Source organism: Homo sapiens, chromosome 14 (assembly GCF_000001405.40).
Source record: "Homo sapiens chromosome 14, GRCh38.p14 Primary Assembly".
NCBI classification, from domain to species: domain Eukaryota; kingdom Metazoa; phylum Chordata; class Mammalia; order Primates; family Hominidae; genus Homo; species Homo sapiens.
This window is the reverse complement of record NC_000014.9, coordinates 99,515,391-99,539,331: the sequence shown is the minus strand read 5'-3', so window position 1 is coordinate 99,539,331 and position 23,941 is coordinate 99,515,391. Positions and strand designations below refer to the sequence as shown.

The 23,941-nt window shown below is 59.8% G+C and overlaps 1 protein-coding gene and 1 long non-coding RNA gene across 5 annotated transcripts in view, besides 8 other annotated features; one reads left to right on the top strand and one right to left on the bottom strand.

Annotated features, from left to right (window-relative positions):
* CCDC85C (coiled-coil domain containing 85C) overlaps positions 1-23,941 on the top strand; it is a 104,018-nt gene that overhangs the window by 64,876 nt on the left and 15,201 nt on the right. Inside the window, exons 2-5 of one of the 4 annotated variants that reach the window (NM_001144995.2) lie at positions 3,244-3,317; positions 17,092-17,199; positions 22,149-22,244; positions 23,046-23,144. In NM_001144995.2, coding sequence (NP_001138467.1) covers positions 3,244-3,317; positions 17,092-17,199; positions 22,149-22,244; positions 23,046-23,144 — 377 coding nt within the window. The other 3 variants (XM_011536706.3, XM_011536707.3, XM_047431328.1) reach the window with 3 other exon arrangements.
* Positions 797-1,388: an enhancer, noted in NCBI's record as "H3K4me1 hESC enhancer chr14:100004281-100004872 (GRCh37/hg19 assembly coordinates)". NCBI's record gives its function as "activates a minimal SCP1, AML or CMV promoter by ChIP-STARR-seq in naive H9 embryonic stem cells {active_cell/tissue: H9 hESC(naive)}" and the evidence as "EXISTENCE:reporter gene assay evidence [ECO:0000049][PMID:30033119]".
* On the bottom strand, positions 1,320-2,715 carry LOC105370661 (uncharacterized). The gene is made up of 3 exons (XR_944200.4): positions 2,666-2,715; positions 1,797-1,891; positions 1,320-1,393 (listed from the first exon to the last, which is right to left on the bottom strand). It is a non-coding gene; the product is annotated as an uncharacterized LOC105370661 (long non-coding RNA).
* Positions 1,389-1,980: an enhancer, noted in NCBI's record as "H3K4me1 hESC enhancer chr14:100003689-100004280 (GRCh37/hg19 assembly coordinates)". NCBI's record gives its function as "activates a minimal SCP1, AML or CMV promoter by ChIP-STARR-seq in naive H9 embryonic stem cells {active_cell/tissue: H9 hESC(naive)}" and the evidence as "EXISTENCE:reporter gene assay evidence [ECO:0000049][PMID:30033119]".
* Positions 5,098-5,699: an enhancer, noted in NCBI's record as "H3K4me1 hESC enhancer chr14:99999970-100000571 (GRCh37/hg19 assembly coordinates)". NCBI's record gives its function as "activates a minimal SCP1, AML or CMV promoter by ChIP-STARR-seq in primed H9 embryonic stem cells {active_cell/tissue: H9 hESC(primed)}" and the evidence as "EXISTENCE:reporter gene assay evidence [ECO:0000049][PMID:30033119]".
* Positions 7,636-8,156: an enhancer, noted in NCBI's record as "NANOG-H3K27ac-H3K4me1 hESC enhancer chr14:99997513-99998033 (GRCh37/hg19 assembly coordinates)". NCBI's record gives its function as "activates a minimal SCP1, AML or CMV promoter by ChIP-STARR-seq in primed H9 embryonic stem cells {active_cell/tissue: H9 hESC(primed)}" and the evidence as "EXISTENCE:reporter gene assay evidence [ECO:0000049][PMID:30033119]".
* Positions 8,157-8,679: an enhancer, noted in NCBI's record as "NANOG-H3K27ac-H3K4me1 hESC enhancer chr14:99996990-99997512 (GRCh37/hg19 assembly coordinates)". NCBI's record gives its function as "activates a minimal SCP1, AML or CMV promoter by ChIP-STARR-seq in primed H9 embryonic stem cells {active_cell/tissue: H9 hESC(primed)}" and the evidence as "EXISTENCE:reporter gene assay evidence [ECO:0000049][PMID:30033119]".
* Positions 9,202-9,724: an enhancer, noted in NCBI's record as "H3K4me1 hESC enhancer chr14:99995945-99996467 (GRCh37/hg19 assembly coordinates)". NCBI's record gives its function as "activates a minimal SCP1, AML or CMV promoter by ChIP-STARR-seq in naive H9 embryonic stem cells {active_cell/tissue: H9 hESC(naive)}" and the evidence as "EXISTENCE:reporter gene assay evidence [ECO:0000049][PMID:30033119]".
* Positions 16,463-17,024: an enhancer, noted in NCBI's record as "NANOG-H3K27ac-H3K4me1 hESC enhancer chr14:99988645-99989206 (GRCh37/hg19 assembly coordinates)". NCBI's record gives its function as "activates a minimal SCP1, AML or CMV promoter by ChIP-STARR-seq in naive H9 embryonic stem cells {active_cell/tissue: H9 hESC(naive)}" and the evidence as "EXISTENCE:reporter gene assay evidence [ECO:0000049][PMID:30033119]".
* Positions 17,025-17,584: an enhancer, noted in NCBI's record as "H3K27ac-H3K4me1 hESC enhancer chr14:99988085-99988644 (GRCh37/hg19 assembly coordinates)". NCBI's record gives its function as "activates a minimal SCP1, AML or CMV promoter by ChIP-STARR-seq in naive H9 embryonic stem cells {active_cell/tissue: H9 hESC(naive)}" and the evidence as "EXISTENCE:reporter gene assay evidence [ECO:0000049][PMID:30033119]".

Below are 23,941 nucleotides of genomic sequence, written 5' to 3'. Positions count from 1 at the left end.
CGCCCAGCTAATTTTATATTTTTAGTAGAGATGGGGTTTCACCATGTTGGTCAGGCTGGTCTTGAACTCCTGACCTCAGGTGATCCACCTGCCTCGGCCTCCCAAATTGCTGGGATTGCAGGCATGTGCCACCGTGCCCAGCCTAGAATTAATTCTTTAGGATAGATTCCACTGGAATTACTGGATGGTCTAAAATATTTTTTAAGAGTGTTATGTTGTTATTTTGAAATTTAAAAGAAAAACCCAATGAAGCCTGGTGGTCTGCAGTGTATTTTATTCTGCATAGCTGCCTGGGGTTTGGGGTAAACCTCAACAGATGGGTCTGTCAGGGGCAGCCCCTTGGTCTGGGGCCGTGGGTGTGTGGCCACCTGTCTGTGCCTACAGGTGGCCCGATGTGGGGGATGGTAGCCTGTGGGTTCTGAGGTGAGGTGCTGGCTATGGGCAGGCAGGGCATTGCTGGCGACCTGTGGGATGGCCTGTCTGCATCCCTTCTCCGGATGCCACCTGCCAGCCTGATCACTGTCTTTAACCCTTACTGGGAAGTGGGTGTGAAACCCCAGTTGTATCTGAGGGGGCGGACTGCTCAGACAGGAGAAGGGTCACCCAGCGAAGGTGCTGAGGCTGACGGGGCAGCTGTGGACTTGGGTTCCAGCCCATCCCTCCTCCGATTGTGGGCTCATGGAGAGGGAAGTGCTGGGAGCTCCTCGCTCACCCTGTGGGAACCAGCAGGGGGAGGCGGGTGGGCTGAAAGTGCACCCACCTCCTGAATGGTTCTGTGGCAGCGAAGGGCAGAGAACAAGTTAGTGCCCATCTTGGGCTGTTGGTCACACACAGTGGCTGGGTCCTCCCCCTGGCTCAGGGCCATCCCCGGGAGCACAGTCCCATGGGGGTGCTGTGGTGAGCAGGGGCCCTGTGGCCGTGCTGAGGATTGCGCTGCGGAGAGCCTTCAGGAGAGTGGTGTGACTGGGAATGGCGTCTTCTTTCTGAGTCTCTGCCAGCTTCTCTCCAAGGCTGGGGCTGTCAGCTCTGCCCAGGGTGGCCAGAAACACTGGGTCCTAAAGACTGACCTGTGGCGTGGGCCTGGGTAGTGGGGAGAGGGGCTGGAAGGCTCACCTGCTGGTGGTGGGGACACTTTGTTCCTTGTGGCCTCTGCACCTGGAAAATGAGGATGGTAGCTGCTTGTCCTTTGCAAGGCATCAGATGCAGGGGGTACCACGTGTTCCACATGGGACAGTGGGTACCCCCCACCCGACTCCACCCAGAGGGAGACCCCACACGTGGGTCCATAGTCATTGGTGCGTTCTTGTCCTAGCTCTGTCAGAGTGAGGGAGCCGGAAGGGTCTCTGGAGTTTACTTGGTCACTGCTTCCCAGCTGGTGTTCCAGGGAGCCCTCCTGTTAGTAGGGTACAGGACATGAAGGTTTGGGGAGCCTAGGCTGCACCCTACCTCCCCATGCTCAGAGGGACCCAGCACACCCTGAATGCTGAGGCCTCTTCCCATCACACCGCTTTGCTTGGGTGGGCATGGGAACTGTTTGTCGGGGTTGATAGAGTAATGAGTAAACTGAGGCCAGGGAGGGAGGGATCAGGGCTGGTGAGGTGTGAGGCTCTGAGGTCACCCTGAGGGCAGGGGTGGTCTGCCTGGCAGGGCGGGGAGGCTGGGCCTGGATGGGGAGCTGCCCTTCTCTCCTCTCTAGAAGGCCCCACATTCCTGGGAGGTGACTGGGCTGGAGGAGGAGGGGAGGCTGGTTTGCGCTCTTCCCCAGCAGTGAGTGCGGCCGGGCCGGGCTCCAGTACCTGCTCCTGCCTGTGGCTGGGCCAGTGGCTCTGCTGGGCCCTAGGCCTGGTCCAGGGCTGAATAGGGGGCTCCCAAGCATCCTTTTATTGGTGTGCTGGGGGCAGACAGATGCTTCATTGGTCCTGTGGTTGGCATGGTGGTCCTGGCTTGTCCCCAGTAGCACCCAAGCCCCTGTCCCCCCAGGCATGTTAACAGCCTGTGGAGTCCATCCCCAGCCCTGAGGTGGTGATGGGGACTAGATAGCTGGCTGTGTGTGGTCAAAGGGGCTGATGTCTCTGCTTCTGCAATCGAGGGTGAGCGGCATGAATCTGGGAAGACCCTGCGTCCTGTTGTCGGGTGGGCCGGTGGGTGGACAGCTGTCAGGGTGGATGGGGTCTGGGCTGGCATCTGGGCCAGGTGATCTCTGCGAGAGATGTTAATAACCCATCCCTTACCAGGTGGCTTCGTGGCTCACAGGGGTACTTGGGACAGCCTTGCTTCCCCCTTGCCTCCTCCTTCCAAACCTGCTGTTGCTGGGTGGTCCCCCGGCCTGTGTTCTGGGTCCCGTTCCTGCCTCTCCTCCCTTCCCCCAGCCCTCTGCCCTGAGGGTTTGCCCTGGGCATCCTGGCAGCTGAGCTGACTCCCAGCCTGGGGGGAGGCAGGACCAGGGGTATGGGATGGCTGGACGTGGGGGTGGGGATGGGATTTTTTTGTGTTTTCCTGATGTGACTGGAAAGCAGGGTCAGTGTGGTGAGGGTGGGTGAATTTCACCCTGCACCAGTGGTCTGCATAGATAGGGCTCCCTTGGCCTGAGGTCAGAAACTGGGGACACATGACCAGGGTGTTCCACGGGGTTCCCGACTGTCATATGGGGAAGGTGGCTGCTCACCTGCAGCATATGCTGTGGGCACACATAGCTTGTGAGAAGTTCCTGGGTGATCAGGCGAAGTGGACTGGAAGGATCCCAGATGCTGACTTGGCAAGTTCAGGAGTCTGTTTCCCCACTGTGTAGAGGAGGGGGCTCCCCGGACCCCGACCCTGGGGTGGGCTGTGCCCTGGCTGTGTTTGTGAGAGCTCCATTTGAGCCTGCAGCATCTTGGAAGCTGAAGGAATTGCTCCAGGGCAGGCTGGCGAGGCCACCCCCACACCCCCCACCTTTCTACAGGTCCTGAAGGTCCTGAGAAGGGCTCAGAGGCCCACAGCGAGGGCAGCAGCGGGTCCTGCAAGGCTGGCCTCTGTGTGTCGTGCCTTGGTGTCAGGTGCCCTATGGCCGGAAGCCTTTGGCCACAGGCCGTGCTGTTTCCACAGGGCGGGCGAGGGCTCGGAGGGGCTGGGGCGTCACCTGGCTGTGGGGTGGGACTCCTCAGACCCAAACCTTCCATGCCGGGTCTGGGGCCAGTCGGGGTTGCGCAATGGGGATGGAGTCTGCTGGAGGCTAATGTCCCCCTTCCTCTTGTGTCCTTCCAGATCCCTCATCCACCTACATCAGGCAACTGGAGAGCAAAGTGAGGCTGCTGGAGGGTGACAAGCTCCTCGCACAGGTAGGCCGGCTTCGGGTGGCGCTGCCTTGAGGACCGCGACCCAGCACCCACCCCTCCAGCTCACCCAGGGCACCCTTCCCCTTGGGACCTAGGCTGTCCCCCCAACTGCTCCCACTGCCACCTGTCACCTCCTGGAAAGTGGGGTCAGGGACCTAACCCTGGCTCCCACACCTCTGGGCTTCCCTCTGCCCAACCTTCCATGCTGACTGCCCAGTATGCGAGCTCCTCAGGGCTGGCCCAGGGCCTGAGAGGGTGGACAACACCCAGTTGATGAAGAAATGGGCTGCTTCACTCCTCTGGCAGATGGGCAGATCCAGGCAGGAGATGGGGCAGACTCACACGGAAGCCTCCCCGCCTCTGCCGTGCTGGACTCACTGGCCGGTACCTCCCTGGGCTGGGTTCCCCTCCTCCCTCCTGGGCCCGACCTCACCCACAGACAGATGAGGCTGCTACCCCTGTGCAGAGCTGGGCAGCAGGGGCACGGCGTGGGAGGGGTTGGCTGTAGGGGGGAGGTGGGGTTGGGTGAGGGGCTGTGCCTCTTGAGTGTGGCTGGAGCTTGGAGGGGACGTGTGACTGCCAGGACAAGGGCTTTCCCTGCTGCAGGTGGGGCAGGCGTGGGGGCTGCCGAGAGGAGGCTATGGGCAGTCACGCTTGGGTGTTGGGGGCCAGCTGGCTTGGCGACCTCTCAAGCCGCTCGCTCCCCCAAGCCTCCGAGCCCTCGTGCGCATCCCTGGCTTCATCCCAGTCTCCCTCTCCCTGCTTTTCCCACTGCGCCGTGAGCGGTCAGCCTGGGATACCCAAGGCGTCTCTCTGGGAACCAACCGCAGGGATGGCTCAGCTGCCTGGCCCTGTTGCTAGGTGACCAGCCAGGCTTGGTGCCGACTGCCCAGCTCAGGAATTCCACGGCACCCTCTCTGCCCACTGGGCGGCTGCTGGGAGGCTCACGGCCCCAGCAGGGAGCACAGCTCCCACTGAGGTCATCCTCACGTCTCACCCCTTTGTGGGCTGTGGGGAAGGTTCCCAGGGCCTGGTGGGATTAGCAGAGTGCACGTTCCTCATTTGGCCTCTTGTGAACTCTCCTCCACACCCCGCCCCCCACTCCCCACCACCATACAGGCGCAAGTGCACAGCCAAGCTCTGAATGGCAAGGCTGGCTTTTGTAATTTCATGCCTTGCTGTCAGGTGCCCTATGGTGAAGGGCTTTGGCCACAGGCCGTGCTGGCTTCCCAGGGCTGGTGAGGGCAGGAGGGGCTGGGGTCTCACCTGTCTGTGGAGTGGGGCTCCCTAGACGCCAGCCTTCCATTGCAGACCTGGCGGGGCCATTGTGGTTGCTAAGGAGGGTGTGTGGAAGCTGTAGGCAGAAGTGACACCAGGAGAAGGTCATGGCTTAGGGACCTTTGCTTTGGAGAAGGTCCCCATGCAGTGTGTAGGAGAGGCAGTCCTGCCTCTGGGTGGTGGCAGGGGCTACTGCTCTGCAGAGCAAGGGCCAGGACCATGCTCTGGTGGCTGAAGCTCGGGCCCCCGGGTCAGTGACCTCACGCGTCTGCCCTGATCTGGAGTTTCTTTGTCTCATTGTTCCTGTGGAGAAGTGGGTTGGAAGCTCCAGCTCTGAATTTGGGATGCTGTTTGCAGTGTTCTTTCTTTCTTTTTTTTTTTTTGAGATGGAATTTAGCTCTTGTTGCCCAGGCTGGATTACAATGGCGTGATCTCAGCTCACCACAACCCTCTGTCTCCCGGGTTCAAGCAATTCTCCTGCCTCAGCCTCCTGAGTAGCTGGGACTACAGGCATGAGCCACCACGCCTGGCTAGTTTTGTATTTTTAGTAGAGACAGGGTTTCACCATGTTGGTCAGGCTGGTCTCGAACTCCCGACCTCAGGTGATCCTCTCACATCAGGCTCCCAAAGTGCTGGGATTACAGGTGTGAGCCACCACGCCCGGCCCTGCAGTGTTATTTCTATGAGAAATGTGTTCTGCGGTCCAACCAGAGAGCAGCTCATGGTCCTGTTTCCATAAGGACAGGAGTGTCCCTGATCCCTTGGCCCCTGCAGGCCACAGTGTCCCACTGGAAAAATACACCCCAGTTCCTGACCACGGACTTGCAGAAAACCTGCGCCCAAGCGGGCTGTGGAGGAGCAGCCCTTCTTCCTGCCTTCCTTCCTGGGGTGCCCCCCGGTCTCACAGGGGGCCCTCCACCATAACCTGTGTCCACCTGCCCTGCACCCACCTGTGCACAGGTGGAGGTAGATGGGAGCTTCAGCCTTGAGCCTCAAGGATGGACGGGCTGGCTCTGCCCAGGGACCTCTTCCTCCCCAGGCCTGCTCCCACCAGCTCCCTGGGGGTAGCAGCAGGGCTCTGTTCACATCCTCATCCGTGGGCCAGGTCTGCAGGGCACCGACATCAGATCCTGATGGCTGGGGAGCTGCTGACCCTTGCCTGGACACAGGCTTGCTGGCTGCAGGCAGTTGGACTGGAATTTAGGGACAGAAACCCACTGTTGCCTGCTTGTTGTTACATACAACCAGGGCGCGGAATTCAGAGATCATCCAGTGCAGAAAGGGTTCAAAGTATTTTGTTTCTTTAGCAGAAATTTGCTTTCTCACCAAATGATGCCCAGTCAAGCCATGCTGCTGGAGTGGTCGCTGAAGGAGCTTGTATCTCTGTGTGGTGTGGCAGGAGGGCACCCAGGGCCCATCCCTAGCTGCTTTCTCAGCATGGACTCTGCAGCAGGCAGAGGTCTTGCCCTGGGGCTCCCAGCAAGTGTTGTCAGGGCCATACCCAGTACCCTGAAAGGAGGCAGCCGTATGCTGCTGGGGCCTTGGCCCCGGTGCCCTGTCCCCATGCTGCAGTGGAGGCCCCTGAACCTCATAACAAAGGCTCCAGGAGCTGGTGGCATCCCCAGAGCCCATGGCATCAGCAGAACCAGAGGAGCCACGGCTGGGTGTGGTGGCTCACACCTGTAACCCCAGCACTTTGGGAGGCTGAGGTGGGCGGATCACTTGAGGTCAGGAATTTGAGATCAGCCTGGGCAACACAGCAAAACCTCGTCTCTACTAAAAATACAAAAATTAGCCTTGCAGGGTGGCACGTGCCTGTAATCCCAGCTACTTGGGAGGCTGAGGTAGGAGAATTGCTCAAACCTGGGAGGCGGAGGTTGCAGTGAGCCGAGATTGCCCCACTGCACTCCAACCCGGGAAACAGAGTGAGACTCCACCTCAAAAAAAAAAAAAAAAAGAAGAAGAAGAAGAAGAACCAGAGGAGCTGGGATCATGGGTGGGGTTCCTGCTGGCCATGGAGGAAGGCACTGCTGTTCTGAGCCATGCAGGAGAGAGAGAGACAGAGAGACGGGGTGAGGGAGGGGCCCTTGGCTCTCGGCAGCAGTGGGTCCCAAGCCTGCCTTTGGATTCCTGGGGCAGCTTCAGTGGCGCCAGCTTTTTGGGGATCCTTGAGCCACTTTCTCTCCCAGACCTGTGTTTGCTCATCTGAGAAGTGGGCACTCATTCACTCAGTGTTTAACTGACCACCTACTATGTATGTGGCCCTGGGGATGCAGGGCTGGCAGGCCAGTCTCACCCTTGTTCCTGCCTGACCACCACCTTGCCCAGCCCGCAGGACCCACATGCACAGAGAGGCCCCTGGAGGATAGGGGAGGTGAAGAGAGCTCGTGGCAGGGCACTGCCTGTGAGGAAAGTGGTGGCCCCATTCTCAGGGAGGCGCCAGGAAGATGGGGTTTACTTAGTCTCCATCCTCCTGGCCTCCTGTCTGCAGCCCTCCCTGACTACCCACAGGTGGCCTGGTGCTTGCCCTGAGCTCTCTCAGTCCCTGGGCTGCCCACCTTTGCTGATAGGGTGTCATGACCCACCCTTGTGGATCCTGGCCCCCACCCCTGTGGGACTGTCATCTTCTCCAGGACAGGGCTGCAGGGTCTGAGTGGCCACATTGGTGTCTCCAGTGCTCAGCATGGTTGAACTGGGTGGATGTGTCTTGGGGAGCCTGTGGCTGATCCCTGTCCAGTCTCCACGGCCAAGAGGGGAGGCTGTTCTTGCTCAGAATAAGGAAGGCCCACTTAACCAAGGGAGGGCTTCAGCAGGTAGTGAGGGTACCATCTTTGGAGATAATCAAGAGATGGCTGGGTGACTATGTTTGGGAATCTTGAAGAAAGAGTTCACAGCCTTGAATGAGATGCTGTCCTAAGCCTCATGGACTCTGGCTCGTGAGATTCTGTGATTCTGGCATTTAAATCTTGTCAGGGAAATCAAGTTGTACAGAAACCCCCACCTCTGCGCAAAGCAGGGACTCTTCCTGTTGGTGAAAAGCAGGAGAGAGGAATGCTCTTCTCTGGAATAGCATAAGGTGACGTGGCTTTGGGGTTTGGGTGGGAGGGTAGGGAGCCTCCCTGGATTCCTACTCCCCGCGGTCCCACCCCCCCCCCCACCCATGGCCTCTATTTAACTCCAAAATAGGTTTAATTAAAAATGTGCCAGCATGTTCACAGACTCAATTACTGTATTGCTGTTCGTATTTTCTTTCTCATGTTGGCTTTAAAATTTCATCAACACAGCTGCTTCCTCCACGATGATTCATCTCAAGACTCCGTGTGCATTCTTATTTTTCCTGTGGATTCTCTGTGCCCAGCCGGGCTGGGCTGGGGGCGGCTGTAATTGACGCTGGGGCCTCTCGTTAACTCCCCTGCTGGGCTGATAAATGAAGACTCCATTGTGCGCCAAAAAAGCCAGCTTTACAAAAGAGCAGGGAGCTCTCCTGATATTCTCTCTCCCTAGACCAGAGGGCCAGCTTGGGGAGCGAGGCTGGGGTCTGGGCTGGTGACTGAAGGGCCCCCAGCCCACCCTCCTCCTCTCCCCTCTTCCCCCACGCTGTGCCCACCTCTCCCCTGGCCTGCCACGTACCAAAGGGCTGCTGAAAGAGACCCAGAATTCACACTAGGCACAGATGGGGAAACTGAGGTCTGGATGAAGGTGGATTTCCTGACATGGATGTTGTATTCGTCTGGTAGGGCTGCCATAACAGAGTTGCACAGACTGGGGGACTTAAACCACAGAAATTTATTTCCTTACAGTCCTGGAGGTTGGAAGTCTGAGATCAAGGCATCAGCAGGGCTGGCTCCTTCTGAGGCCTCTCTCCTCAGCTTGTAGACAGGCTCTTCTCCCTGTAAACTCCAATAGCCCCCGCCCCAGCGCTCACCTGCTGTGTGGCTTCAGGTGAAATCCTCTCTCTCCCAGAGTCTCAGTGTCCTCACCTGGGAGGTGATGCCCAGCGCAGTGTGATGTGGCCCCTGGGAAGCACCCCAGGCGGTCCCAAGGGCCTGGGATCTTTCGAGGTCTGGCTGACCATGTGCCCTCTGCTGTCCCTTGGGCCTGGCCCATCCCCAAGGAACCGCTGCTCTTTGTCCTTTGAGTTCTGAGCCCTTCAAGGGGCGGGGAAGAGGGGATCGATCTGCTGCTGTCTGAATCCATGGCCAACGCTTCAGTTCTGTGTCCCTAGGAGGATGGGCTGTCCTGAGCCCGGGTTCCTCCGGAGATGCTGGCGTCGCGGTGGTCCACGTGGGCATCTCTGTTGGTCAGCGTTTCCATGCCTTGGTAGCAGGCTCCAAGCCCTTCCCTGCCCTGTGTGTTTGGCATCTTGGGTTGGCCGCCATACCGTATCACCTCTGTCATAGGCAGTGTAGTCTTTGGGTCTCTGGAGGACTTTAAACGCTTCCTTAGTTGAACCTCAGAGTCAGTTTGGCCTCTCCCTTGCCCAGGGAGGAAACCCCCTCTTTCCAGCCTTCCAGCCAATGAACAGATGGTCAGTCTCGCAATGTGGGCAGAATGGAGACAGGAAATTCCACCTCCGTGCCCTAGCACCAGCAGTGTAAGGAGTGTCCACCGTGAGCCAGATGCTGGGGGAGAGTCACCAGGGCTGACAGGCCAAGTGCAGGATGCCAGTGCCAGAGGGCCTGGTTCAAGTCTCACTAGTGCCACCTGCCAGCAGAGTGGCACTGAACAGGTCGCTTAACCTCTCTGCACCTCAGTTTCCCCCTCTGCAAAATGGGGACACTAATGGTGTCTGACACATACATTGTTCAGAGGATGAAAAGGCAAATTGTGGGAAGGACTGGGAGTCGGGCGGTTGGCGGTAAGGGTGGCGGGTTAACCACCGTGATCTTTCCTGTCCATTGTGGGCCAGCCATAGCCTCCGCCAGCCTCCGCCTGATGCCAGTTTATGTGCAAACAAACAGAGGCCCAGAAAGTTGAGGAGCTGCTCTGGCTTACTCAGCCAAGGTAGGATTTGGTTTTGCAAATCCGCACCCCTCAGCTGGGCGCAGTGGCTCACGCCTGTAATCCCGGCACTTTGGGAGGCCAAGGCTGGCAGGTCACCTGAGATCAGAAGTTCAAGACCAGCCTGGCCAACATGGTGAAACCTCGTCTCTACTAAAAAATACAAAAATTAGCTGGGCATGGTGGCCGGCACCTGTAATCCCAGCTGCTTGGGAGGCTGAGGCAGGAGAATTGCTTGAAACCTGGAGGCAGAGGTTGCAGCAAGCCGAGATTGCAGCACTGCACTCCAGCCTGGGTGACAGAGTGAAACTTCATCTCAAAAACAAAATAAAACAAAACAAAAAAACAAAAGAAACAAAACACACACACACACACACAAAACTGCACACCTCAAAGCTCCCACAGGCCTGTCCCTCACTTACCTCACTGGAACAAGTAATGGGCCTGCAGAGGGACCTGGGAAGGGAGGGATGGTCTGCGTGGTGGACAAGACTGGTCTGCCTGTTACCCTGAATGGCACATACACGTGAGTTTGAAAAATGGGATTTCGGGTGTGAAATGACATGGGGACCAAGGGAGGAGCAGTGCCAGCCATGGGTAAGTGACATCAGCCACACATGGCCGCACCTTCATCTCTACCGCCTGATCTGAGTGCAGATTGGGAATATGTCTCTGGACCCCCAGCTGAAGCGGCAGCCCCCTTGTTCTTTTTTTATTTTCCTTTTTTTTCCCTATCAACTTTTGTTTTAAGTTCCTGGGTACATGTGCAGGACATGCAGGTTTGTTACATGAGTACACGTGTGCCGTGGTAGTTTGCTGCACAGATCAGCCCATGGCCTAGGTAATAAGCCCAGCATGCATTAGCTCTTCTTCCTGATGCTCTCCCTCCCCTCGTCCCCCTAACACGCCCCAGTGTGTGTTGTTCCCCCCTACAAATGAGTTCTCTCAAAATTAAAGAAGAAAAAGAAAGTAAATCCAGTTGGTATGACTGTGTAGCTCTTGTGGGCGACCTTGCAGGTCATCTTTGCCTTGAGGCTAGAACAGGGGGCCAGATAGGGCGTGCATCCCCCACCTGGCCTCTCTGAGCTGCTGGGATCTTGGGGTGCCTCTAGGCCGGGGCACCCCATCCCAGGGCTTCTCAAAGGTTTGCTTTTCCCTGGGAGGGTAGCAGGGCACTTGGGGTGGCTCCACCCTGGTGTGAGTTTTGGGGTGGGCTATGGGGGGTGGTGGGTGCTCCTAGGGACCCAGTGCCGGGCACATGGCAGGTCTTCAGTGAGTCCTTGTGAATCTGGAGTTTCTGAAGACGTGGAGCTCCTGGAGTCGCCTTGGCGAGCCCCAACCCTGGCCTTCGGTGTGGGAAAACCACTCCGGCTCAGCTGAGGTCCTGGTGGCTTTGGGCTAATAGATGTCCAGGGAAGGCACTGGGCAGAGTGATGGGCATGGTTGGCATTTACTGGGTGACACTGTTCTCCTTCCTTCTAGCTGCCCCGCCCCTACGGCCGCCCGAGAAGCTGGCTTCAGGTAGAGCTGCCTGGTGGGAGGCGTGTTTGCAGTGGTGTTTGTGGGGGTCGGGAGGCTGCTTTGTGTGCTGTGCGCTGCTGTGTGCTCTGTCCCCTACTCCCCAGCACCCTCCCGTTCTTTCCTGGGAGCACTTCCTTCCCAGGCTGCGCTGGCCCTGCCTTTAGAGTCTTCTTGGGATCTGCCCTCTCCTCGAGCTGGCATTACTGGCGAAACTTCCAGTTTTGCAAAATAATAGCAAGACAGTGATGCAGCGACCGCCCCCGAGGGCTCTCCGTGGTGTGAGCCCCTTCTCACGCACCTTGCCCAGGTGCCCGGGGTCCTCCCGCCTCTGCAGGGCGGCAGGGCTGGTGCTAATCCCCACTTTGAAGTGAGACACCTGCAGTGCACGGAGGGAGAAGAGGCTTGCAAGTCTGCATGAGTTAGTGGAGACGAGGCTGGGGCCCACATGCCCACCCAGCTGTGGCTCCCGGTGGGAAGCTGCCTGGGTCCTTGAGGGAGGTCTCCAGGGCTGCTGAGCTGGGTGGGCACTGGGCTGAGGGTTCTGCGTGGGTTGCACAGTTCTGAGGGTCAGCATGAGTCACCATGCCAGGCACCCTGGGCTGCAGCCAGATCCCTGCTGGACAGGGCCTGGGACTGGGGAGCTGCTGGGTGAACTCAGCTCCCACCTGTGCCCAGCCTCGAGACCCGTGGAGCCAGGCCCTTTAGGCACTGGCCACTCTCCTGCCAGCTCTCAGGTCTCCACATGGTTTCATTTCTGTCCCCTTCTCCCCGTCCTGAGACTGCCCGCCCCAGAATACCTGCCCCGCATTACCCTCCGGGGGTCTTCCACCCCATGCCCGAGCTGACACTAAAAAGTGTCTGTAGACACTGCGAGTTGTCCTCTGGGGGCATCACCCCCATTTGAGAACCAGTGACCAACTGTGTGCCAGCCCTGGGCTTGGGCTGGGAGGTGAACCACACCTGTCCAGCCATGCAGACAGACGATAAACCAACAACGTCATTACACAGTGCCAAGTCTACCTCCCCTTCCAGAGCAGCCCACAGGCATGACTGACGGACGTGTGGACACAAACCTCCTGCGTGCCCTCGTGGGAACAACTCTGGTGCAGTTCCCGTGGGGTCAAGTTGAGGCCTGTCTTCTGTGGAGGCCTCTGTGCTACGCTGCACAGCCCTGACCCCTGCCCTGTCCTGCATCCTCCCTGCTTTCTCTGCACTCTCCCTCTGAGGATCTCCGAGACGGATGACAGCTGGATCTCGGTGGGCTTTAGTTTGGGGCCGGACAGTGGAGCCCAGGCTAGTCTGTGGCCCCAGCTGCCCCTGGAGCTGCTGGGGCCCCTGGTGGGAGAATGGTCTCCCCAAGTCACGCATTCGAGCCTCTGCTTCCAGGTGGGTCCCCCAGCCCAGCCAGCTGAGGGTGCACTGTCTTCCAGCACTTCCTGGGTGGAGGTGTCAGCCTGATAGGCCACTGAGGCCCTGCGTTTATTACTCGGCACCCAGACCATTGATTACGCATCACTGACCAACCCTGGGAGCTCCCACAGTGCTTCGTCTTCCTGGAGGGAGGTCGCCAGGTCTTGGGGACGGGGTGTTCCCTGGGCCCTGGCCTTGCCCCCACTTCCTCTTCCTGGAGGGAGGTCGCCAGGTCTTGGGGACGGGGTGGTCACTGGGCCGTGGCCTTGCTCCCTGGGTCTCACCTCTCGCCTCCGTAGCCCCTGGGATGATGGCTTATCTGTGGGAGTGGGATTGGTGGGAAATGTGAACTGGAAGGAGCTCTCTCCAGCTCCCTGTCCTCCAACCTGGCTCCCATCCCAGCCTGGGGACTGCACAGTGACCACGGGGACCTGGAGACCATCTTAGCACACGCTCAGGGCAGAGGCATTGTTAGTGCCTGCAGGAGCTGCACGGGGCCTGGGCTCATGTGGCTTTTTCCTGCCCAGGTTCCCATTGCTCTGAGGGTGGATGTAGGCCCCTCCCTGCAGACGGCACCTTCAAGCTCTTCAGCTGCGGTGAAACTGGCCTCTTGTGACAGATCCCCTGGAGCCCCCACAGGCCAGAAGCAGGAGGGCACCTGACCCAGGAGAGTCTGGGCTGGGGGAGGCCTGTGTTGGGGTCCTCTCCCTGAGCCCCACAGTGTCTCCCAAGTCAGACACAGTCATTGGCATGACCTAAATTTGGGAGGGGGAGAGGGATGTGGCTGCGTTGCTGTCCACTGTGGTCCTGGACCCTGGCCACACCTGGCTGTCCGGCTGAGCCGAGCTGTGCTGTGCCACACGGTGCCAAGGGCCCATGCTCACCTGTCAGCCATCCTGGAGGGTGCTGAGGAGGGAGGAGCCTCGCAGGTCCCCACCCATCCCTGCACCGAGCACTGAGACACCGGTCCAGAGTCGCGCCAGGTGGCCCCTCCACGAGGACTCCTTCCCAGGGCATTCTGTATGAATCAGCCTGGGGCTTCGAGTCTGGTGGTCCAAGTGGTCACTTGCGGGCAGGCTGCCCAGGTGGGGACACAGGGCACCCCCTCTTCAGTGCCTGCCTCCACCCGCACCCCCAGCCCTCACTCCCCTTTAGTTGCAGCCTCCCTGATGGGGCACAGCGTGGTGCCTGGCACACAGGAGGCGCTCTGTTTGTGCCTCTCGGACACATAACCGATGCAGCACATTTGAGGGCCCAAAAGCTCTCTGGGAGCAGGAAGCAGGGTGACAGCAGCTCCCCTAAGCACAGCCCAGAAAGGCGCTTCCTGCCTGCAGCCACCCCACCCATCCTTTCCAAACAAGCAGCCTCAGGTGGGCAGGCTGGGGTGGGTGGGCTCTGTTTCCATGTCTTATCCTCTTTCTGTTCAGCATCCCCTCTGACAATGCTCCCTAGGGGTCACCCCAGGGTGGCCCCACATAGGCCCCCTGCAGCTTTGCAGGCAGGCATTCGCTGCAGGACGGGGTTCCCCTCTGGGGAGAAGGCTGGGCCGCACTGCAGAGGCCCAGAAAGGGCTGGGGAACAACTGGAGTTCACCCAGCGAGTCCTCGCTGGGCCCTGAGTTGGGCAGTGTTGCAGTGAAGGCCCTGGATACAGGCTGGAGGTGTCCTGAACTCCGGTCCTCAGTGGAAAAGGAGGCCCTGCAACCTCCTGGGTCTCTTCCTCCCTAGTCCAGGACACTCATGCTGCCCTCTGGAGGCTCTAGAAGTGAGTAATGCGGATTGGGCCTGGCCAGGGTGGAAGGGGCCACGCTGAGTGTTTGGCAGGGCTGGCCCCACCCTGTTAAGGATTCGGGAAATCTTGTTTGAGCTCTGAGCTGGCAGCTCTGTGTGTAAGATCCCTTCTCCCTGGGTCCTGAGGGAGCCACCCGAGGAAGACTGGGCAGGTGGGTGTTTCTGGGGAGCGGCAGTGGACCCCCTGCCTCCCCCTGAGGAAGGGCCAGCACCTTCCTTAGCTGGGGCTCTTCTCTGTGTGCAGAACAAGCCCAGCAGGTGATTTCAGCTCCTGCTTCCCCTCCTCGGGGAAATCCTAGGGAATCTCATTCTGCAAAGGCAGCGACCTGTCTCATAGCAGGATTTTTAATTTGGATTTAAGTGCAATAATGGTTACTCATTTGATGCGCCATTAGTCACATTGCCCCTTAATGAGAGATTGTGTGTTTTTCCTGCCTGGCTTTGTGGCTTGCTAATAAAGTTCTATGGACATGCAAATGTTTATAGAGGCTCACCGAAGGCAAGGGTGGGAATTGCGTGCAGCTAATTAAAAACCTCCCTCACGCTCACGCACACACATCTCCTCCCAGGGAAATTATCTGGGGGAGGGGAGGGGACGGCAGCACAAACCTGCGTTTTCGGTAACAGCACGTGGGAGCCCATTTGGTCGAGGGCCAGAGAGGATGTGGAGGAAGGGACGCCGGAGTCCAAACAGAAGCTGAGCAGGGCAGGGCAGGGCCGGCTGAAGGGGAGGGCAGCTGTTCCAATCCCAGGTGTACCCTTCCTGGCTGTGTGGCCCAGTAGTCAGACTGTGTGTATGTGCACGCACGCATTCAGAGTGTGTGCTGGCTTAGAATGCATTCTCCATTGGAGAAGATTTTGTAACTCTCTTACTGTTGCAGAGTCCTGGCCAAGAAAATCAGGTGGTTTGGAATTTTCGCCCTTAAGTGGAGCTAGGGGTACATCTCTCAGGAGAGGTGACCCAGAGAGGCATGGGTGGCTCTGATGGGGTGGGGGGAGGGGTGTCACTCATGGTTGGGGGAGGGTGAGTGCTGGGCCTAGGGGTGGGGGCTGTAGCCTCTTCCTCTTTTTGGTACCTGGTGGGTGGGGAGGGGGCTTTCCTTGATCTGACCTCCACCTGCGGGCCGTGAGTGCCTCTAGTTAACCTAGGCAGGGTCAGCCAGGGTTAATGCCGTGGTCAGGGCATGGCAGTCCCATTTGATGGTTCAGGGCTGTGCCCAAGGCCCCCGTGCTGAGACCCCTTTGTGATGCTCGCCAGGGTTATCTAAAACCCATCACACTTTGGGGGCCCTGCAGGAAGGTTGGTTCCCACTTCTCTGTCTCTCCTTTATGTCCCTCCCTGACCTTGGACCACACCCAGGTCCTCCCTGAGGCCCAGGAAGCAGCTCCCAGCCTCCAGTGCCCGGCTGCCCTGGCTGACCGGCGTCTGGTGGGCGTGGGCTATTTAATGAGGGGAGTCAGTGCCGGATCCCTGCTTTCCTGTCTTGGCTCCGTGGGAGCTGGTAATAGAGCATCCACTTGCCTCCTCACCCCCGCAGGACACGGCTGTTTGCTGGCCCTTGAGCCAAGCTCTTGAGACCTCCCAGCCCCAGTGGGGGGCCTGGCCAGGGCTCTGATGGGGCTGGGAGAACACAAGAGCTGGACCTCAGTGAGGCTGGGGCTTGTGAGAAGTGCGGGGCCAGGTCCAGCTTTTGAGGGAGGCAAGCAGGGTGTGTGTGGGATCTTTCACAGCCAGGCCGAGGGGCTGGTGAGTGGAACTGGGACCCCAGACATGGCTGCAGCCTGTCCTGCCTTCCTTGCCCCTGCCCCAGCCCAGCCCCAGCCTGGGCCTCCCCTGCCCCTGCAGTTTGTTTGGGTAACTCAACAGCCTGCTGATTTATGGGACATTCCGCAGGGTTTTATCTGCCCAGCCACTTTCTCTCAGTTCCTTTGAAGTAGAAAAGGGTGTTTCGGCCAGAAACACCCAAAACCCTTTAGTGATGCAGAAAGAAAAGAAAGGCCGGGCCTTCTGCTGGGCCGGGCCAGGGGAGGGGCACTGTGGGACTGACCAGAGAAGTTTATGGGACCTGTGGATTCATTCTGGCTCCTGGTCCCAGCCCCAGCCCCAAATTCTGGGGGTCGGTGGTGTTTGCTTTGCTCTTAAGCAAAGGGTCTAAGGCCAAGCCTTCCTCCCTCCCTCCTGTGTGCAGGAGTTAGTTACAACCCCACAGCTTGCACGAGTTCTCAGGGATTCAGAGGCAGCACCCAGGACCTGCTTTAGGAGCTCCCTGCCCATCCGATGGGGGAGGCAGCCTGGGCGGAGCATCCCGAGAGAGCCCCGAACCCGTGGGAGGTGGGAGGCCTCGCCTGTGGATGTGGCCCCATCTGCTGCCGATGGCTGGCCCAGGCCCTGTGAGTGGTGCCGTCTGTGCAGGGACCCAAGGGCAGGAAGTTGGAGCGGAGGAGCCAGGGTGAGTCACGGGGTGGGAGAGACACTCTCTCCTCACTCGCTCTCACTGGCTCTTCTTCATTCATTCATTCATTCTGTTTATTCAGCCATCCAACAAATGTTTACAAAGCCCACGTTGGAGAGTGGATCGCTGACATTTGAGCTGGGGAGAGTGAAGATCGATTGATCCCGGCTCGGGGGATGGATAAGCGGTGTGGAGGGGAGGGTGGAGGGGTCCTCCGGGGCCGTGCCTTTGAGCAGCCCCTGCTGCCGTGAGGAGCCATGCCCAGGGCCCTTGTCCTCCTCAGCCTGGCCCTCCGTCTAACCCCTCTCCTTCTCTCCCCTGCAGCAGGCAGGCTCCGGAGAGTTCCGCACGCTGCGGAAAGGCTTCTCGCCCTACCACTCGGAGTCCCAGCTTGCGTCCCTGCCGCCCTCCTACCAGGACTCCCTGCAGAACGTGAGTGTGCACCCCAAAAAAGCCCACATGTTCTGGATGAGGGGCTGAGGCTCAGGCGGGCCAGTGACCTGCCCGGAGGGGCACAAGGATCTGGGTGCCTGAGTTCAGCCCCAGCCCTAGGCCCTGTGTCCGTGTCCCATCCAGTGTGGCAGTTAGAGGCGGAGCCCCAGGTGGGTTGACACTGCTGGAGGTGCGGGGCAGTCTCCAGAGGCCACGTGCGCAGGGCTGCCCGTGCCTAGCCCCTGTCCCTCTGAGCAGCTCATTAGCCTGTGCCACTCCTTGGCCACGGTGGGGAGAGGGTACCCGGCCAGCCCTGGAGCTTGGGGTTCAGGTTTGTGGATTCTGCACTGAAATGACCAGCCTGATGCCTCCAGGGGTATCCTCTGCCCCTACCTGGCTGACCTGGCCTGGAGGGAATGGGGTGGGCGGCTTGGAGCCAGCTCCCGGGAAGTGGAACCTAGCTCAGGACTGTGCCCTGTAGATAGATATGATGGCAGTGGGGAGCCACAGGAGTCCAGGCCCACTTGCCCTCCTAGGACTGGGGGCCTTGCCTTGTGGGACTTCACGCCTCCAGGAGCCTTGGTGGGTGTGTAGCGGATGCTTGGGAAGCATCGGCTGTTCTCGTTGCGGCACCTGCAGAGCCGTGTATGGAGGTGCTTCTTGGGCAGCACGTGCGCTTGTAGCAGCTGTGCCCCTTCCTGCTCTCTTCCCTGCACCCCTTGCCCACAAGGCTGACCCCAGGCCCCCGGTGCAGAGCTTGCTGGGCCTCAGTGCTGGCTGCTGGCTCTGCGATTTCTCTTTTGCTGCCCTTCCACCTTCTCCAGGAATGCAGCTGTAGAGCCTGTGCAGGCAGCAAAGCCCGCCAATGGCCGATATTCCAAGCATTTATCCGGAGTCCCGTGGCTGAACGAGGCTCTAACTGTTTCATGGTGGAGGGCTCTGAAAAGCCAAGGGATGCCCTCACGGGGCTGGCTCCTTAGTCTTCATGCCCCGTGCCTCTCATTCATTCAGATCGTGGGAGGGAGTAATAGCAGCTAGCAGTTACTCAGTGCTATGTCCTGAAGTCTTCCGCGTGGCCTGCAGGTTGGGAAGTGCTGTGCAAGCACAGCTCTCACATGTACCAGGCCCGCCAGATGCTGTCTCCCTGCAGGCCTCTGGAGAGCACACCTCAGGCATGGGCCGAGCCTCAAGGCCTGAGAGTGCGGATAAAATGCTGTCAGAGTTCAGGAATGTTCAGGAAGGCTTCCTGGAGGAGGCAGCCTTGGGAAAGGGTTTGTTCCTCTTGCCTCCTTTTTTCCTCTAGACTGCTCTGTGCATGAAGGGGTGTCCCCTACTTTGGAGAGGAGGAAGTGAGGCTCACAGGGGTGGGGTGGATGGCCAGGGCCCCATGGTGAGTGCGTCCTGGTGCCTGTGTGTGCCTAGAGGTCAGGGGCCAGCGTGGGGGCTGTGCAGGGGTCGCTCCTCCATGAGGCCAGGAGGCCGGGTGATAAACTGAGGTTCAGGGGCCATGATCAGGGCTGGTCGGCGGGCAGGCCCCCAGGAGTGGGATGAACTGAGGTGCAGGGGCCGTGATCGGGGCTGGTCGGCGGGCAGGCCCCCAGGAGTGGGATGAACTGAGGTGCAGGGGCCGTGATTGGGGCTGGTCGGCGGGCAGGCCCCCAGGAATGGGATGAACTGAGGTGCAGGGGCCGTGATCGGGGCTGGTCGGCGGGCAGGCCCCCAGGAGTGGGGGTTGAGGGGTCAAGGTATCTCGTGGGAGGGGCCGATGAAGCCTGGAGAAGTGGCTGCTGTGGAGGGGCCAGGGCCAGAGGCCCTTGCTGGGGCCTGGAGAGCCCATGTCTGGCACTTGGACCCCCGGGGAGAGTGAGGGGGTTATCCAGAGAGGGCCGTCTCCGGGCTCAGACACTGCCTGGCACACAGGCCCTTCCAGACCCAGGCAAGTCTCCTTTAAGGCTACCTGTGGGTCATGGGCACATTGAGGGCATGCTGGAGAGTCCCTGGGTAAAGCAGGTGACTCTCTGGGGTGGACACCCCCTCCCTGCCCACTGCTGCCCATACCCTCCATCCACTGGCTGTCAGGGCAGGTGCCCAGTGGAGGGTGGGAGGTGGTTTATACCCATCAGCCTCCTAAGGGAGGACACTCAGACTTGTGCCGTCATCACAGTAGAACATTTTCATCACCCCAGAAAGACACCCTGTACCCATCGGCCGTCACTCCCGTCCCCCTTCCTCCCAGCCACCAGCAACCACCGACTGGTTGGTGCTTTCTGTTTCCACGGATTTGCCAATTCTGGATATTTCGTATAAATGGAATCACATGACGTGTGGCCTTTTGTGTCAGGCTTCTTTCACTCCAAATCTTGTTCTCAGGGTCCAGCCACAGGTACCCTGTATTGGTCTTCATTGCTTTTCATGGCTGAATACTATTCCATTGTGTGGGTGGAACACATGATTCCTTCATTTGTTGCTGTACATTTGGATCGTTTCCATGTTTGGGCTCACATGAATGGTGTTGCTCTGAGCGTTTGGCGACAGGTATTTTGTGGATGTCTATTTTCAGTTCTCTCTGGTGCACACTGGTATCCTCACTTTGGGCACCAGCTCAGGAGTCCCACAGACTTGGGTTTGGCGCCCAGCCCCATTGTTTACAAGCTGTTTGGTCTTGGGCAAGCCATTCTCTTAGCCTCACTCTCCTTGTCTGTAAAGTGGGCATGTAGGCCAGGCTCAGTGGCTCACGCCTATAATCCCATCACTTTGGGAGGCCAAGACAGGAGGATTGCTTGAGTCCAGGAGTTCAAGACCAGCCTGGGCAACATGATGAAACCCCATCTCTACCAAAAAAAAAAAAAAAAAGCTGGGCATGGTGGTGTGCATCTGTAGTTCCAACTACGCTGGAAGCTGGGGTGGGAGGATTGCTTGAGCCTGGGAGGTCAAGGCTGCAGTGAGCTGAGATGGTGCCACTGTACTTCAGCCTGGGCGACAGAGTGAGATCCTCTCACTCAAAAAAAAAAAAAAAAAAAAAAAAAAAAAAAAGGCATGTATGAACATGTAAAAAGATAGTGCCTGCTGGGAGCAGTGTGGCAAGGACTCAGTGGGCCCATCTGCCCTAAGTGGGTACCTAGTCAGTGGGAGGTGTGTGTGGCCCGAGGGGGCTGAGTTCTAGTACAGGTGGGGGCCCCTGCACCCCGGGAATGCCCTGGAGGTAACACTAGGGCTTTGTCTAGTCCTGGTGTCACTTTCAGGATCCCGGGCCATGCCCTCGCTGGCACCCACCACTGCCCAGTGAGGCGGGCAGGAGAGGGGCGGCTTGCACAGCCCACCCCCACGCTCCTGGCTTCCCTCCTGCCTGTGCTGCAGAAATCCCAGCCCCCTAGAGCCGGGGGCTGTAACAGGACAGGCAGCCCAGGGGCCTGGTGCAGATGAGGCCAGAGGTGCCAGGGGCCGGCTGGCACATGGCCTGTGTTCTGCAGCGGAAGGTGCAGGAAGGTGTAGGTGCCCAGGTCTCCCAGGGCCGTATGTGTGCGACTGGCGCCCCCTGCTGTCTGGCGCGGGGAGTGCCGCCTTGCGTTGCCCCAGGGGGAATCCCCAGCGTCCCTGTTGGGTTCCCTACACTACAGAGACCCAACAGCCTGGGCTGGAGTTAGGGGTCTGCACACACCCTGGGGCAGAGGACCCTTTCTATTGTCCAGACGAGGAAACCGAGGCTCAGCGTGGGTTGAGCCCCACCTCAATGACGCTTTCCTAGACCCCAGGGCTCGGGGGGCCTCCGGAGGTAGCAGCTCCCAGGCCCCCTAGCCTCAGGGGTGGGGCCTGGTCTCCATGTGGAGGCGGGAGCCGGTCAACCTGCAAGGCCCTGGGAGCAGGTCCAGGCCAGGGCGGGCGGGGAGGGCACCAGGGGTTGGCTGCCAGGCCTGCAGGGGGTTCCAGGTCCTGAGGGTCGCAGAACCCAGCCCTGCAGTGTTAGGTGGCCCCATGATGCAGGCCTGGGTGGGTGGGATTCCAGCCCAGCTCCCTGAGCTTGCCAGGCCGTTGGGAGGCGTCATCAGGGCCCCATTTACAGAGAGGGCGGCAGACTCAGCTTCCATGGTTGGCCCAAGGATTGCCAGAGGTGGGAGCCCCGAAGATGTCCTGGAAACCCCGCTTCCAGGGCCCACAGGGCACCGCTGGGTGTTTTCTGTCTGGCTCTGGGCACTTGTAAGTTCCTCCCAAGCCTCTCCCAGCATCTTGTGACCTGCTGGTTTCTGTTGGGCCCCTGTGGTCCCCACTGCAGCCCGAGGCAGAAGCCCTGCACCTGGCTTCCCAGCCACATGGACCCTTCCAGGCAGGAAGCTGGGGGTGGGACTGCCTGCCCCTGGGTAGACACGCAGCTTCTGACAGAGGCTGGGTCCCCTCCCCAAGGCCTGATGTGGGAGCTGGGCACCTGGCAGCCAATTCATCCCGCAGGGCTGGGAGGTGGCAGCTGGGAGGCAGGCCCCAGGGAGTGCTCAGGGCGAAGCCGGCCTCGCCCACCGGTGGCTCCAGGGTGGGCAGGGGAAGGGAGTTTGGAGTCAGGTGCCAGGGTTAAGTCCAGACCTTCCTGGTCTTGCTGTGATCTGGGTCTCTTGCCCTCCCTAGGCTGAACTTACTTTCCTTGCAAAACAGACGCTAGGTCTTATCTGTGGGGTGTTGTAGAGGAGCCTGAGAGGTGTGGGTGGGCCCTGGACTGCCCCTCTTGCCTCTGTGCTATCAGGGACCATTTCATCTGCAGAAGACCTGGTGGGCGGGACTGGCCAGACTGGCTGTGGGCTCCTTGGGTCTCCATCCTCACACCTGCCTCCTCTGCCTCACCCCGGTCCCCTTTTCCTCCTGCCTGGGCCCTGGCCCCTCAGAATGGGGGCCTTGTCTGAGCCACCGGTCATTCCTGTGGGAGCCAGCCAGGGTGAGCTGAGATGTGTGATTGCCTTCCCCAGGGCCCGGCCTGCCCCGCACCTGAGCTGCCCTCGCCCCCCTCTGCTGGCTACAGCCCTGCAGGACAGAAGCCCGAGGCTGTCGTGCATGCCATGAAGGTGAGGGCCACTACCCGCTCCCTCAGAAGTCCTCAGATGCTGGGTGCACTGTGAGACTGTGGGACCTTTGCACCTAGGGGTATCCAAGTGGCAGGGGTGGGAGGTTTCATCTGTGTGTGGGTGGCTGGGTGACCATGGCTGCCTGGAGCACTGTGAGGTTGAACTCAGAGGTGGCAGTCATAAGTGTGTCACCTGTCTGCCATCCCTGAGCTACTGCACCTAACAAGACTGAGGCCTGGGGTCGGGGAGGGCAGGCACCCAACTAAGGCCAGAGAGAGAGGGGCAGGAGTGGGGCTAGAACTAACCTCAGGTCTGCCAGGCCCAGCCTCTGCAGGTGCAGACTGGTGAGTCCGATGGGCTCCGGTTCCTCCAGGCTGTGCACACCTGAGCACAGTCCCCACTCCCATGCCCCCCTTCCTCCTACGTACGTGCCCCATGACATCCCACATGCATGCACGGCCACGCCTACTCACACCCCCTCCACGTGGCGAGTGCCCACTCATCTCCAGCGGGCCCTGGGTTGCAGTGAGTCCACCTGTCTGAGGGTCTTCCTTGCCCAGCCTGTCTACTTCCTCCCGGGTGGCCCAGCCATGAGCTGCTTCCCTTGTAGGGCATCCAGTGTCAGCAGGGTGAGATGACAACCTGCCCCTCAGTTTTTTCCACGCTTGTCCCCAGGGGCCCAGCGGCTCAGGGTCCTCAGCTTTGGTTCGCAGCAGGGGAGGCTGAGGATCAGGGGCCAGGTGACTTGCCCGAGGTCTGCCGGTGGCCTCTGCCCCTGACCCCGAGACCCGTTCCCTTCAGGTCCTGGAGGTACACGAGAATCTGGACCGGCAGCTCCAGGACAGCTGTGAGGAGGACCTGAGTGAGAAGGAGAAGGCCATCGTTCGCGAGATGTGCAACGTGAGGCTTCCAGGGGTGGGGGGCAGAGGCTTGGCACTGGGAGTGCGACCAGGGCCACCCAGCATGGCCATACCCTTCCCCATGTGGGACTCCATTTCTCGAATGCTCAGCGAAGGCTGGGTGACCTTGGATAGCTGGGGGGAGGCCTCAGAGGTGCTAGGAGCCCTGGCCCGTTGTCATCTCGCTGCCCCCTGCCCTTCCCAGAGGGCCCCTGGTGTCTGCAGATCCGCCCTCCCCAGGAGTGCCGTGCCTGGGGTTCTGGATAGAGCTTGAGCCCCCCACCCCCCCGGGACTGGTTTGTTCACCCCAGGTGTTCCCTGGGTGCTGGCCCCCGGGCCTCTCAGCTTGCTGGTGCCCCCTGTGGCTGCTGGCTGGGCAGATGGTGCTCAGAGCAGGAGGTCCAGGTGGAACCCTCCAGCCCACCAGGCTGGGGCTGCCCAGGAGAGCTCCGTGCTCGACCCAGCTGAGCACCATCGGCGGTCTCCTTGGGGGTGCTTGCAGGAGCCATCGGGGAAGGAGTTTCATAGGGTCTGAACCCAGGACTTAAAGGGGGGGCGAGAGGCTCTGAACTGTGCAGCCCCTCCCCCGCATCACCTAGTGGGGCCTGTGGACCCCACTGGACAGCTGCAAGGCTGAGCCACACCCCAGCAGTGACCTGCTCAGGCCCGATAGTTAGCGCGGCATGCAAAGACCTGGTGTGGGTGTCTCTGGGCCTGCAGTGGCCTCCGTGTCCCTCCTGGCCCCATGGCTCTGAGGACGTGGGTGATTCTGCCGTGATGAGGCGGCGGATGTGCATA